A 16,478-nucleotide genomic window follows, 5' to 3' on the forward strand; every position below is an offset into this window, starting at 1 on the left:
AACAATTCATTATCAGAATGAGAAATTCAACAAAAAGTTAGATATCTCAAAAAAGATAACCAAACAAATCTTGGCAATGACAAATTCAATGAATAAAATAAAAAGTACCATCAAGAACATAAAAAAACCAGACTAGCTCAAGCAGAAGAAATAATTTCTAAGCTTGAATATACACCTTTTGAAATAACTTAGGCAGACAAAATAGAAAAATAATAAAGAATAAAAAAGATGAAGAAAGCCTGAAAACATATGGGAAACCATAACACAAATATTTGTGCTATGGGAGTTCAAGAAGGAGTAGAGATGGGAAAATGTGTAGAAAACTTATTTAGTGAAATAACAGCTAAAAATTTATCAAACCTACCGAGATACATAAACAACCACATAAACACAGCTCAAAAGTTCCCAAGTAGATTAAACCCAAAAAGGTCCTCCCTGAGGCATATTACGGTCAAACTGTCAAAAGTCAAAGACAAAGAGAGAATTCTAAAAACAACAAGAGAAAAGCATCAGGTCACATGTAAGGGAATCTCCATCAGACTAACAACCGATTTATTAGCAGAAACCTCACAGGCCAGGAGAGAATGGGATGACATATTTAAGGGCTGAAAGGAAAAAAAAAAAAAAACTGTCAGTCAAGAATACTATACCCTGGAAGGCTATTCTTCAGAAATGAAGTTCCCAAACAAGCAAAAACTGAAGAAATTAATCATCACCAGACCAGCCTTACAAAAAATGTTTAAGGAAGTCCTACATCTAGAAATAAAAGAAGAATAACTACCATTATAAAAATATGTGAAAGTATCTCACTGGTGGGACAGATAAACAAAAGAGAAAGGTAAAGGAATCAAACCTTATCACTACGAAAAACCACCAAACTGCAAAGATAAACAATAAATCCAAAACCTAAAAATATAACTACCATATGTTCCAGTAATTCCACTACTGGGTATGTATCCAAAGGAAAGAAAGTCAGTGTATTTAAGAAATGGTGGCTGGGTGTGGTGGCTCACACCTGTAATCCCAGCACTTTGGGAGGCTGAGGCGGGCAGATCACCTGAGGTCAGGAGTTCAAGACCAGCCTGGCCAACATGGTGAAACCCTGTATCTACTAAAAATACAAAAATTAGCCAGGCATTATGGTGGATGCCTGTAATCTCAGCTACCTGGGAGGCTGAGACAGGAGAATCGCTTGAACACAGGAGGCAGAAGTTGCAGTGAGCCGAGACTGTGCCATTGCACTCCAGCCTGGGGAACAAGAGTGAAACTCCATCTCAAAAAAGAAAAAAAAAAGATGTCTGTGCTCCCATTTCTGTTGTAGCAGTATTCACAAGAGCCAAAATATGGAATCAACCTAAGTGTCCATCAATAGATGAATGGATAGGGAAAATGTCATCTATATAAAGACATATAATACTATTTAGCCATTAAAAAGAATGAACTCTTTCTATTCATGGAAGCATGGATAAGCCAGGAGGACATTATGTTAAGTGAAATAGCCTGGCACAAAAAGAAGATCCACATCTTCTCACTCATATGAAAGCTAAAAGAGCTGATCTCATAGAAGTAGAGTCAAATCGTGGTTACTAGAGGCTGAGAAGAATAGTGGGAGAGGGGAGAGGAAAATATTGGTTAATAGATACAAAATTCCACCTAGATAAAAGAAACAAGTTTTAGTGTTCTACAAAAATGTATTGCATATTTGCAAATAGCTAGAAGAGAGGATTGTAAATGTTCTCAATATAAAGAAATGATAAATTTTTGAAGTGATGAATTTGCTAATTATAAATATATATCAAAATATCACACTAGGTCCCATAAATATGTACAATTATGTATCAATTATAAACAATAATAGATTTTAATTATTATTTAATTTAGTAATTAATTTTAACAATGAAATTATTAAATAATCAAATTTATTCTAGTATCCCAAAACAATAAATTCTTAGGAATAAATCTAAATAAAGATGTTTAAGACCTCTACAAAGAACTCTAGAAAACACTATTGAAAGAATTAAAGAAGATATAAACAAACGCTGGTATATACCATGATTATGGATTAGAAAACTCAGTATTTTGAAGGATTTTTTGAGGAAGTTGACAAGCTGATTTTAAAAATTATAGGGAAACGCAAAGAGGAAAGAACAGTGAAGACAGTCTTGAATAAGAAGATACAATTAGAAGATTTACACTATCAGATATCAAGACACTATAAAATTATAGGAAATAAGTAATGTGACATTAGCATAAAAAAAGAAATATAACACTGAGACAGAATATAGAGACAGACACACACGTACACATGTATGTAAATCACCTGATTTACAAAAAATGTCTATGATGGTCTTTTCAGTAAATAGTATTGGATTAATTGGTATCTGTATGGAAAAAAATCATGAAACTCAATCTCTCCCTCACACTATGCATAAAATTAACACTAGGTGGATCAAAGACCTATATTTGTAAGGAAAAACAACATAATATCATAGGAGATTATCTTATCGACCTCAGGATAAGCAGAGAATTCTTAAATAGCACTCAAAAAAATTTAACCATAAAAAAAGACTGATAAATTAGACTTCCTTAAAAATTAGACACTTCTACAACTTACTAAAAAAAAATTGATTTTTATAAACAGACAAAAGAATTGAACAAACATTTATCATTTATTCTCTCTCTCCTCTCTCTCTCTCTTTCAATCTCAATCTTGATCACAAGCATGCCCGCACATGATATGCAAATTAGGTCTAATGGCAGATAAAACAGGCATGTGAAACAGGACAGTGTAATTATTTTCTTCACAAAGAGAGCAGCTTTGTTCTTTTGAGTTAGAAATGAATAACATCTTATTTATAGGAAAGAAGGCAGCACTATAAGAGATGTTCCCTTCTGAAGTCTTGTGTATTTAAATCACTTCAAGGAAGTGGAACCCTCTTTTCAAAATGCACATACTACTCTCTATTGGCTCCCATTCCAAGCCTAAGTTCGTGTTAACTGAATGACATGGAGTAAGTGGAGACATAAGTCAGACACCACTGTGATCAGTGCTGGCTCTGCCATCTGCTTTCAGGGTGATAGTGGGCAAGTCACTTTACCTCTCTAAGCATTAGTTTTCTCATGTAAGATAACAGGTCAATAATATTAATATTTATCTCAAGGGTAGTTAAGGGAATTAAATGAGATAATAGATGTGAAAATACCTAGCACAGATTCTAGCCCATGAAGTTATATATGTACAGAATAGAGAAGAGAGACATTTTTCTGAATCTGGAGGTACTATCTGTATTAGTTATTTAAATAATTCATACCATTTAAAGTCATTGTTTATCTTTTTCTATGTATTGAGTGATGAATACATGCTCCCAAAAAGTTATCTTTTATTGTTGCAGGTATTTGTGTGTCTGTCTGCACATCAGATACAGGTTAATTCAAATGTGTATGGTGCCTGTAACAAAATGTTACTTAGAGAAATGATGAAAACAGCTTGGGGGGATGAGCAGTATCCGATAATTAATACAAGAACTCTAGTATTCCATAACAAATCAAGGAAAATCTTCTTTTTGAAGAATTATTCCAGTAAGAGTCCTCTGGGCGGACCAGAGTAATGCAAGCCATGGAACTGGCTTTGACTCACAAGGCAGAATATTGAGAAGAAAACTGAGAGTCAGTAACTAACTTTGGGTTTAAATTTTCTCACCTGAGCTAGACTCCCTGTGATGTACATCTTTGCAATATCTTTGCAAAACAATTTCTTTGCTTGTAATGCTCCATTTCATACTCCTGCTTAGAAAACTGTTACTCATCTTTTGAAATCACATATTCATTTAATCAAAAAAGTGTATAAAGACCCAATAACATATCTGATGCTGTGCTAGGAAACAAGGATATTGTGTTGAGCAAAATCAGACCATAACCTCATCCTTATGCACCAGCCTCTGCACTAGTGTCCCCTAAAGCTTGCCCTGGATTGCTCCCTCCCCCATGCTTAAAGCTCCGGGTGCACACGTGGCATTAGAGAACAATCTATGGGTTTACACAGCTGTTTCCTCAGCCTGGCAGGGGGAAGAGGAAGGACTCAATGTATTCATCTTTTTTTTTTTTTTTTTTTTGAGACGAAGTCCTGCTTTGTCACCCAGGCTGGAGTGCAGTGGCCTGATCTTGGTTCACTGCAATCTCCACCTCCCAGGTTCAAGAGATTCTCCTGCCTCAGCCTCCTGAGTAGCTAGGACTACAGGCACGTGCCACCACGCCTGGCTCATTTTTTGTATTTTTAGTAGAGACGGGGTTTCACCGTGTTGGCCAGGATGGTCTCTATCTGCTGACCTCCTGATCCGCCCACCTCAGCCTCCCAAAATGCTGGGACTACAGGCATGAGCCACCGCACCCGGCCTATTCATCTTTTCTTCCCTAGTGCACAGCTTGGAGTATGAGACATAGTGGGCTCTCGACAAATGTTTGTTAAATTAACATTCATAATTCATGAGGTCTTGATACAGTCCAATATGTTAAATGATCCTCCTAATGAATATTACAGAAATGAAAACAATTATGCTCAGGAAAATTACAACTTTTTGAGACATTCTTTGCTTTTTTCATATTTTATTAGCATTTTATTAACAGTCCTAGCAGCTGGTTTAAAAATGTCCAGTGGTTTTTAAAGAGCTGCATAGTATAAATATAGGTGAAATGGTGCCTGGTGAGACTTTCTCAGTTTAAAATTATGAGAATATTTGAAAAAAATGGAATAAGTTTCCATTCACTTGGAAATAGTGAATGTCATTGTATATAAATGTCATTGTATAATAGTGAATAGTCATTGTATATAAATGACTTAATATCCTGGGGGATTTGTTATGTTTCTATAATAATCAACAATATTCATCCAGAAAGGGAAAGTGGTAGAAGACATTCATAGAATTTGTCATCAAAGTTTGGTACATCCTACAAATAAGAATAATATTATTGATTTTAAAACACTTAGCATAGATTTTAATATGTCCTAATTTCATAAAAGTATGCTAAACTGTCCTTGAAAAAATGAAAAAAAGAGATTCTTATTACTCATGCCAAATAAAGGGAAGAAGCCATTCTTCAAGTAAGCATAAATATCATGTGAACTTTGAAGCAAAAGAGATGTAATTTCCACTCTACTTATTTAGAAATAGATGAAATGTTGAGCCTTTAGTCATCTTACTAAAAATTACATCGAAGAAACTGAAGAGTGAAAGCACAAAAGTACCTACTTGGTCTGGTGTTTAGATCCTTTCAGATGGGCATGATACTGTTCTATTGAGTTTAGGGAGACACTGCAGATGGTACATCTGTAATTGCGCCTCAGACCTGTGGACAACAGACAGACCTGGTTAGCTGCATCCAGTCGTCAACCACCTGAAATGAATCCTAGCATCTCCAGAAGTTCAGGGACACAGTGTCGGAGATAACTCCTGATCTACCCCACCAACACTTCAACCCTTCCTTGCAGAGCACAGCCAACAGGTCTCTTAGCAGAAGTGTAATTATGAATATGTTAGAAGCAGCTTATTTCATTTCTGGAAGGCTTAAATTATTAGAGCATCCTTCTTTGAATTGAGGTAAGGTGTTCCTGGGCATTTTATACTCAAACAGAGATGCATTCTATTTTTCTCTAGATCATATAGACATAATACACTGTCATCTCTGCAGTGAAATTTGAGACTCCAGAGAAAAACTCTATCCTAATTCCTTTCCACTCTACTCCAATGACAGCATTGAAAATTCAACTTTAGACATCACTCATTTAGGTGTTTCTTCTAGGATTATTTTATAAAATGTAAATACCAGGAGGAGAATAATACATCAATCTGGTTCATGTGAAGTCTTACGTTCCACCAGAATTTAGAAGGCAATCTATTCATTCACTTTTTCATTCATTTAATTAATTCACTAATACAGTATCAACTTTGGGCCAGGTACTAGGGATTCCAAGATGGATAAGATGCTCTTTGCTTTCAGAAGTTTAGTAAAAATCTTGACTGATCTAGAGCCAATTTATGTTAGAAAACAGCTTTAACCAAATAGCCTTAAACATTTGCCGCAGAGCTGAGACCCATAATGAAACATATTCCTTCAGCTAGTATGTCCCTTCAGAATAGAGAGAAAAGTAAAGTTGGTCATGATCTGAAACTTTGGATTTTAATTCTGACTCCGGTCATTTCTAGTTTTGTGATCTGGAGGAAGTCATGAAATTTCTAGCCTCAGTTTCTCCATCTACAAGACGAAGACAAGGCTGATCACATCACCAGGTGTTGTAAGAACTAGGTGAATAAGATATTACAATGGCCCGTAATCCCAATGATTTGGGAGGCCGAGGCAGGAGGATAGCTTAAAGCCAGGAGTTCAAGACCAACCTGAGCCACATGGCAATATCTGGTCTCAAAAAAAATATTTTTAAAAGTCAGGCATGGTGGCACACACCTGTAGTCCTAGCTACTCAGGAGGCTGAGAGCCCAGTTCAAGATCACAGTGAGGTATGACAGTGCTACTGCCTGCCTGGATGACAGCCTGGATGACAGAGTGAGGCCTTGTCTCAAAAAAAAAAAGTGACATATATATACAACAATGTTTAGCAAATGAGTACAAAATTCTGTTCTAGCATTGTAAATGCCAGGACTGAAAGCTGTAGCATTTGTTTTTATCAATGCATAGTATTTAATTTTAACAGGCAAAGTTATTCCTCTTTTCCTGAAAAGAAAATAATGCACTATGCTGGGATAGCTTTGCAACTTGCTACCTGGGTAACTTTATGCAAATTATTTGACCCTTCTGGACTTCTGTTTTCTTACAGTATTGTGGGGAGGGCTGAGTGAGATCTGGCATGTATGTGAGAGTGCCCAGCACATAACAAGTGATCAATACGGGCTTGCTATTTTTACTATTTTGAAGAGATGTTAACATGGAAACACTTTCTGTTTGAGTGTCCAGTTGAAGCCCTACTGGGAAGTCCTAGACACAGATGATAACTATACCCACATTACCAAAATGAGGTAAGAGAGCATCAGTGCAGAACGTCCAGGGGAAGTGGTCACGAACCCGTGCTGACCACTCACCACCAGTACGAAGAAGAGACTGAAGAAGAAAGAAAGAAATGGGTAGAGACTTTCTTAAGAGAGAGCTATATTGTACCGTGAGTTCCATGTGGGACCGTGGAGTTCTCCCTCACCTTAAGCCTGTGGAGAAGGGATTGCACAGAACTACCTAGAGGGCTTGAGGAGTACCTTCTTGTTGCTTGGGAAGTGGTAGATTGGACTCTGTCATCACCTGCAAGATCCAAATGGCTAGAGACTGTGGTTTGTTATCTTCCCTGGTGGCAAAGTATAAAAGGTGACAGAATTGGGCATGGCCTGTGTTCTCAGAGCTTGTCAGAAGAAAGGATATGTGAAAGCTTCTCACAGACTGTGTGTACCCTGTATGAAAGAAGCTGATTTGATGACTTCTTAGATACTACCCAAAAGGGCTGCCTGAAGTTGAGGGCAATGATACTTCAGCAAAAAGATGCTGAAAGTGTTCACCTGGCTAATCTAGGTGCTTAAAGTGATACCAGAGGAGCTACTTAGCCCGTATTAAGTAATGACAAGTCTGTGAAAAAGTCATGAAATTGTAAACCAAAAAGTATCTGAGACAGGTCTCAATCAATTTCAATTTAGATAGTTTATTTTGCCAAATTTAAGCACGCATCTCTGACACAGCCTCAGGAGGTCCTGAGGACATGTGCCCAAAGTGGTCAGGGTACAGCTTGCTCCTATGCATTTTAGGGAGCCACGAGGCATCAATCAATATGTGTAAGATGTACCTTGTTTGGTTTGGTAAGGTGGGACAACTTGAGGCGGGGACTTCCAGGTCATGAGTAGACAAGAGACAAAAGGCTGCATTCTTTTGAGTCCTTGATCGGCCTCCCACTAAATACAGAATTTAGTCTGGCTCAGCAAATGTGCATTTTTACATCAACAGTAGGGTAGAGGAAACAATCATATATGCATTTGTCTCAGGTGAGCCTCAGATGGATGACTTTGAATTCTGTCTGCCCTTTGTCCACGAGGAATTTCCTTGAAGGCAAATTGTGAGGGAGGTGTGTAGCTTTTGAAATTTGTAGCTATCATATTTAGGAAGAAAATGGGAGGCAGGTTTCCCAGCTTGACATTTCGCTTGGCTTAGTGATTTTGGGGTCCTGAGTTTATTTTCCTTTCACAAAAGCATCCTGAGGAGAATCAATTCGCACTTCCTGCCCAGTCAAGCAGTATCCATGCTAGCTTTGCACAGGACCTACCAAGTAAACTTCCATTTCCCTTGCTAGTCTTCCACCTGTGTCCCTCAGCCCTGGAGGAGCCAGAGCAATGTACTGAGGGCAAAGAAGAAAAGCAAAAGCTCCAGGCAGAACAAAGAGAGAAGCCTCCCACACCCTCTTTTCCCGTGTTAAGTGGACAGCGCCAAGCAGGACTGAGCTGGAGGAGGGGACAATTAACTTTTAATAAATTTTGGAAATATTTAAAAATTACTGCTCTATCATGGATGTATTAATTAAGGAATACAGAATTTATGTATTTACAAGTAGCAAAGGACTCTACTACTTAAAAATAAGTGAAAATTCGTGAAACTTGCCCTAGTTTCTATCTAAAAGTTTGGAAAAAATAACCCCACAAAGACAATTTGAATGAACTAATGGAGGAAAGAAATAAAGTTTTTTATTTTTTTTTGACATGGAGTCTCGCCCTGTCACCCAGGCTGGAGTGCGAGTGACATGATGTCAGCTCACTGCAACCTCCGCCTCCCGAGTTCAAGCAATTCTCCTGCCTCAGCCTCCCAAGTAGCTGGGATTACAGGCAAGTGTCACCATGCCCGGCTAATTTTTATATTTTTAGTAGAGACGGAGTTTCACCATGTTGGCCAGGCTGGTCTCAAACGCCAGATCTCAAGTGATCCACCCACCTTGGCCTCCCAAAGTGCTGGGATTACAGGCGTGAGCCACTGCACCAGGCCTAAAGTTACTTTCCGATTGCATCAAATCCAATGAGTCCTGCTCCCTGAATGTCAGTGTCCTTAGAACTGCCCACATCTACAATCTGAACAAAGAGTAGAGTTTCCTGGAGGCGTTCACATTATTATGGCCCAGTGAGCATTTCAGAGAGACCTCTTTGAAATGTATATAGTAAGCTAGGTGGGTTGGCATGAGAGCTAGCTTTGTTTTTGTTTTTGTTTCAATCACATAATCAGGTACTGACTCACCTGATTGTTCAATTAAGAGTCCATTTAATTATGAGAAAAGAACAATGAAACCACAAATATCTGGGATGTTCTTAGGAAGCAGCCTAAGAGACTGACAACTTTTCAGGTACAAACTGCCAGTTCAGAGATAAAACAGACAAATCTTGAAACCTATTTTCTCAAGCAGTGACTCCCAAACGTCAGAGTGTGGATGCATCCTCCAGTGATCATGATAAAATCTAGATTCCCAGGCAAAACTTCGGGAGATTCTGATACTCTAAGCTTTGGTTTGGGGCTTGGAAATGTACAAGAAGTTTCAGATCATAACCCCCAATCTCACCATACACCTGCACTTTACAAAGAATACTCCCATAAAAATCATACTCCTTTTGGGAACTTAAATTTGTCAGAACAATACTGGACCTTTAAAAAAAAAGCTATTCCATAAAAAAGTGCTATAGTTATACTGACTTTCCATTTCACAGGGATTCATGATTCAGTAAGATTATTACGGTCCCCAAACCCAGAGGCTATAACTTATCACTACCAGTGTGTGAGTTTTTAAATGCTTATCCAGGTCTGACCCATTCTCCTCTTCTAAGCATGGAATCAGAATACTAAAACCAGCTTCAGGGTTTATTTCTTCCAGAGTTCTCCATTAATCTTGTCATAATAAATATTAACTACTATTTATATGGGTCTTCTTCAGGCTACAGGCTAATCAAAGTTCTCATAACAAATAGAGGTTCAGCTTGCAATAGGCATAAATATTTATGTTTAAAAATGGGCATTTTTAAGAACTCCAACAAATCTAAAACATATTCTGATCTGTTGCTTTCCATAACAGTTCTCACGCTCTGCAGCCAGAGGCGTGGGCAGGAAATATTTGGCACTTTATTGCGATGCAAACTACAGGGATTATAAATTGGAAAGGCAGTGCATATAAACAAGAACAAAGACAGAGAAGGGGCAGAGGAGTCCTCCCCCACGCATGACACAGTGTCCTTGGTGGGAACTGTGCTTTATTAATGCACAGTTGAAATCCTAATTACTTTGGTATTATATGAGTCTTCTTTTCCTTAGAGAACCAGAACATCTTATTAAACCAAAAAATGCTAACTTCCTTGTTCAATTCATTTTCAGCGCAACACCATATTAAGAGTATCCTAAAATTTCTGCCGACCTAAAGGCTATTTCTGCAGGATTGCCTAATATGTGTTAGAAAAACATAGTTCCTACCTGCAAGGACCTGTCAGACAATCCAGTTGGAGACAGAAAACAGATATAGAAGTAGCAACAATTCAAGGTAGACCATTAAAAGTATTACAATGAGGATGAAGTGAAATGTTACAGGAGCTAGAGGAGAGGAGATTGTTTCTAACTCAGAGGATCTGGAAAAGCTCCTTGAAGATGCATCACTTTTGTATTTATATTTCCTAGCACAGTGTTTGTTAAACATATGGTCCTGGAGACTTCAGCAGCACATGACTACTCAATATGTCTTTTCAAGTCTAGCAAAGCTAGAAGTCCCTATGACTTCAATTGTATCCATTCTACATTAGAGACATATCATTGAGCCTTTATTACTGTGTGAGATATTTTGCTGAATGCTATGAATATGGGAGAGAATAAGACAGAGTACATTTTCTTATAGAGCTAATCAGGGAAAAAGACAAGAAACAAGTAAACAAATTAAAAAATATAATTAAAGGTTGTGAAAGTGTTGCACAGTATATAAGCAGGATCATGAGGAAGAAAGTAAGTGGGAAGAAGAGTGATTTGGGATAGTATGGTCAACAGAGTTCTCGGAGAAGTGTGAAATGGAACCAGACAATGCTGATTAGCCTGAGACGTGAAGAGGAGGGTAAAGAGCTATCCAGGGGTAGCAAGCAGCAAGCATAGAGGCCCAGAGTGGAAATGGGCCTGAACTGCTCAAGGAACAAAAAGTGATAAAAGAAAAAAAAAAAAGGAAAAACAAACAGAAAACACCTGTTCACTCAGAATTCTATTTCTAGCAAAAATTTCTGTCAAAATTGAAGGTAGGCTAAGAATATTCTCAAGGAACAAAAATAAAATGAATAGTTTGTCAGCAAACCAGTACTACAGAAATGCTATATAGAGGTCTTCTGGTGGAGGGGAAATGCAACCAGACTCAGACTATGGGGAAAAAAAAGAAAAATCTCAGAAATTATTAATATGTGGGTATCTATCTTTTAAAATTCCTCTTGATTTATTTGAAAGAAGCAAACAATTTAAGCAAAAATTAAAACACTGTATTGTGTATTATGCTGTTTATAATGTACAGGCATGTAAAATCTATGACAATAGCAGCACAAGAATGGCTCGGAGTAGAACAATATTGTTGAAAGACTATTATATTTTATATGAAATGGAGCAGTGATAATTTAAGGTTGTACACTGTAATCTCTTAGAGCAACAAATAAGCAAATACAAAGAAAGAAAGCTAAAAAATATAGAGAAAATAAAATGGAATAATAAAAAGTATTAGATTAAGCCAAAATAAGGCAGAAAAGAAGGAATAGCAAAACAGAAAATGGAAGAAACAAATAGAAAACAGATAGCAAAATTATGGAGCTAAAGTCAACCATATTAATATTTACATTACATATAAATGAATTAAATAGTCAAAAGGCCAAAACTATCAGACTAGACAAAAAGGAAGATCAAATATACACTGAATTCAAAGGATGCACTTCAAACACTTATAGGTTGAAAGTAAAAGGATAGAAAAAGACATCCTATGAAAATAAGTTCAAGAAAGTAGAAGTGTCTGTATTAATATTAGACAAAATAGATGTCATGACAAGATGTTTTTACCAGAGATTAAGAAAATATTTTATAATGATAAAAGAAGAAATTCATCAGGAGAACCTAATAGTTCTAAATACAATTTAGCCAATAACAAAGCTTAAGAGTGCCTTCCAATGCACATCAATAATAACATTGACTATATATTTAAATGTAAAAACCAAAACTATAAAAACATAAAAACAAGAAATATCTTCTAGAAAAATATAAAATAATATCTTCATGAAATTAGAACAGGCACAGATTTCTTAGGAAACAAAAAGTATTGACTCTTACAAAGTGACAAATTAGATTTTATAAAAAGCAAAAGCTTCTGTCTGTAAAAGAGACCATTAGGAAAACAAAAAGATAAGACAGTGCTGGGGGAAAAATATTTGTAACACATGTATCTGATACAGAACTTGTATCCAGAATATATAATTAACTCCTACAACTCAATAATAAAAATACAATCTAATTTTTTTAAAGGGCAAAATAATTTATTACATGTATCATAAAAGAAGACATAAAAATGACCAATAAGCACATGAAAAGTTTCTCAACATCATGTGTCATCAGGGAAATACAAATTAAAAGAACAATTAAATACTATTGCATACCCACCATGAATGCTAACATCAAATTAAAACAATACCAGATGTAAATGACCATATGGAACAACTAGAATTTGACACATTCTTGAGGGGATTGCAAAATGGAACAAATAATTTGGAAAATGGATTGATAGTACTTAATAAAGTTAAACATATATCTACCTTATGACAAGAAATGTCTAGCAGTAGAAATTCTACTCCTAGATATTTACCTAAAAGGAGCAAATACTTAGTGTTAAAAAAAGATTTTTACAAGAATGTTTCTAGCAACTTTATTCACAATAGCCAAAACCTCAAAACAACCCCAATGCCCATCAACACAAGAATTGATCGTAACACTCAAAGAAATATTTACATATGTTCTGCATTATAATGTTCACTAAAGCTGGAACTATTTTGAAAGATGATTAATAATACAAAGGTAGAAACAATAAGGTCTTTGTTTTTGTGTAATTTCTTTCTCTTCCACTTCTGATACATCCATTAATCAAACTGTCTTGTACATGGATTTGTTATCTTTGAGCAGAAGGAAAATAGCTAATACTGATATATGCCATATATAAGCACTGATGTGCTTACTTTACCCCATTTTCCCATTTACTCATTTACTCTTTGCAACACTCTGGGGTAGATACTATTGTTATACCGATTTAACAGAGAGGAAACTGAGGTATGCAGACTTACTCAAAACCATCTAGCTAGTGGGAGACAGAGTTGGGTTTTGAACCCACACATTCTGGCTGTAGAGTCTATACTCCTCCCACTGTGAATATTGCCTCCTATGACATGGACTAGAAGTAGAATCAAGGAAGTATGAAAAGCTCTTTCAATATCATCTGGTCTGGTATTCTCATATCTGCCCACCTGACAAGTGAGAATCATGTAGGAGTTGTTAAAAACACAAATTCTAGCCTTATCCTAGATGATTATGATTCAGTAAATCTACATTGGGACCTAGAAATCTATATATTTTTAAAGCTTAAAGGTTTGAAGAAACCATTGGTCCCTCCAGACTCCATAGGGTTTGTAGGAATTTGTTAAATCGTTGACAAGCAGAATTGATCTTTGTAACTGCGCTAATACCATTGGTGACATGAAACATCTTACACTTAGAGACCTTCCTTCCTTCTTCCTTCTTCCTTCTTCCTTTCCTTTCTTTCTTTCTTTCTTTCTTTCTTTCTTTTTCTTTCTTTCTTTCCTTTCTTTCTTTTCTTTTTCTTTGTCTTTCCTTTCTTTTTTATTTCCTTCCCTTCCTTTCTTCTTTCTTTCCTTTCTTCCTCTCTCTCCCGTCCTCTTCCCCTTCCCCTTCCCTTCCCTTCTCTTCCCTTCTTCCTCCCTCCCTCCCTCCCTCACTCCCTTCCTTCCTTCCTTCTTCCCTCCTTCCCTCCCTCCCTTCCTTCCTTCCTTCCTTCCTTCCTTCCTTCCTTCCTTCCTTCCTTCCTTCCCTCCCTTCCTTTTTAGATGAGGACTTGCTCTGCACCCAGGATAGAATACAGTGGCATGATTGTAGTTCACTGCAGCCTCGAACTCCAGGGCTCAAGCATGACTCCTCCCTCAGCCTCCTTAGTATTCTGCTGGGACCACAGGCATGCACTACCATGCCTTGCTAATTTTTTTTTATTTTTTATTTTTGTTGAAACAGAGTCTTTCTATGTTGTCCAGGCAGTTCTCAAACTCCTGGGCTCAAGCAATCCTTCCACCTTAGCCTCCCAAAGTGCTGGGATTACAGATGTGAGCCACCATATCTGGCCTAAATACTTTCTTAAATACAGCTGAATTCTATCCACTGGCCTAAATTCTGCTTGTGTGGGTCCCTAGCATAAGTGTATTCTCATCTCTTTAAATACATCAAATACTTGAGAGTTATCATCTCCCCTAAGGTTTTGTTTACCAGGCTGAAAATCAAACGGCTCTTTTACAGTGTTCTCATTGGAATATGCATTCAAGCTTCCTGCATCACCTCCAGGCCATTTTAGACAGCACGTCCTCTTTGTTGATAATTTTCTTAAACTACAACTGTCAAACTGAGGGCCAAGTCCCTACTATGGTCTCATCAGTGCAAAGTAGAGAAGGACAGTCACAGATCTTGTGCACTATTACTTCTATCAATACTTTTAAAGCTTTCAGTATAAGTGTGTGTGTGTGTGTGTGTGAGTCTTGAGACACGAATCAACAGTCATATTGAACCTGCTATCAATCAATTCCCTTAAGACTTTTCTACACACATTTCTGCTAAGCCACATCTTTATTTTCTCTTTCTGTTTGATTACTTAGATATTAACGTTTGTCCCCATTAGGTTCCATCTCAATGAGTTCTACCTATTCCTCTAGGGATAGCAAATATAATTCAGCTCATGTGTCAATTATGATTGGTTGGTTGTAACTGTCTAGAGTGCTCTGAAAACACTATGAGGCTTCACCCCAGCTGATAGGGAGAGGTTTCTATCATCTATTAGCCTCATCTGTTTGTGGTGAGGAGTGGGGTGCTAGTGGCTGACTCTTCATGTCTGTGTCTTTCAAGCTCCAGCCTATCAACATATATTGTAGAAAATTCAGGGCAAGGAAGGTGCTGGTGGACCAGGGAGTCATTAACACTTAGGTGGCGTCTAAAACCGCAGGGATGGTCAGATCATGTATGAAGGTGGTGTAGGTAAAGAGAAGGAAGTTCCAGAGTGTGAAAGAGCAGTTAGTACAGTGACACTTGGTGTGGAATCATTGCTAATCTGCTGTCTCACCTTCATGCATGGGGCAAGGCCAAGCCCATAGGTACCTCCAGCTCCCACTGCATCTCCACCCTCAAGGTTGCTGAATCCTGGGCCAGATGTGTGTGCAGGAACCAGGTGCAAGGACCCAATCTATCCTGCAGGTCGGTCACCCATGTGACTGAGGCTGGGGACACTAAGACAGAGTCACAGCCTCCAGTTTGTCCTCCTGGGCTCCAGTTTCCCCCTCCCCACCCCAGTACCATTTCTCTTTGCTCCTTCCTGCCTCACCTCCCTTATTCTTCTAGCAGGCCCATCAAAAGATGCAGAAAAAACAGCCTTACAAAGACTGCCTCACCAGCTCCCATAATTGCATGAGGTCTAATCCTTATCATAAAGGTCTTATTCTGTATCATTCGTAGTGGTTTATTCTTCTCATCAAACCCTGGTATGGAATTTGGTGGTATCAAGGAAGCCAAGAGAAGAAAGCTTTCCTAAGAGGATGAAAGGGTTGTTATTATCACAGTTAATCCTCAAAACCACCTTACGAATACTATGAGCTCTTTTTACAGATGAGAAAACCATGGTTCAAAGACATTAAAGTCAGAACTAGTAAGCAGAAAAGCCAGATCTGAAAATATTTATTTCCTATTTCAAAATTAATTACCTTAATTACTGCACTAGGTCTTTTATGGAAAAAAAAAAATAGAGGGAGGGAAAATAGAAGAACCCTGTTTCTTTTGTTTGTTTGTTTTAAAACACCTAATTTTGAAACTGTTATGTGAAATAGATGAAGCATGGCTGCTCTAGTTGAAATGGGGGGTAGGGGTGTGGAACATCAGTTAGTTTCCCATCAAATTTTAAGCACAGCTCTTAGGGTGTCCCAAGTAAGGAACCTCAGGGACAAACCCATTGGGAAATCACAACAGTTTGCCATGCCATTCCCATAAGGATAATATTAGGAATGGGGGCGCATCCAATCTTACACTTGCACAGTGAAAACAGCTCTTCCCTCTGAGTTCAATCTAAGAAAACTCACCAATATCAGGGTTTGACACAGCCCTAGTTAAAGAGCCTGTATTACTCTATTACTCCATACTACCGTCATTCCAAA

General features: G+C 37.6%; 1 protein-coding gene across 2 annotated transcripts in view; it reads right to left on the reverse strand.

Moving 5' to 3' along the window:
• The window catches only part of ZMAT4 (zinc finger matrin-type 4), a 367,237-nt gene that overhangs the window by 45,329 nt on the left and 305,430 nt on the right, over positions 1-16,478 (reverse strand). For both annotated transcript variants that reach the window (NM_001135731.2, NM_024645.3), the window contains one exon: positions 5,247-5,343. In NM_001135731.2, the coding sequence (NP_001129203.1) occupies positions 5,247-5,343 (97 nt within the window). The remainder of the gene's footprint in view (positions 1-5,246; positions 5,344-16,478) is intronic.

This window comes from Homo sapiens, chromosome 8 (assembly GCF_000001405.40).
Source record: "Homo sapiens chromosome 8, GRCh38.p14 Primary Assembly".
Classification (NCBI taxonomy): domain Eukaryota; kingdom Metazoa; phylum Chordata; class Mammalia; order Primates; family Hominidae; genus Homo; species Homo sapiens.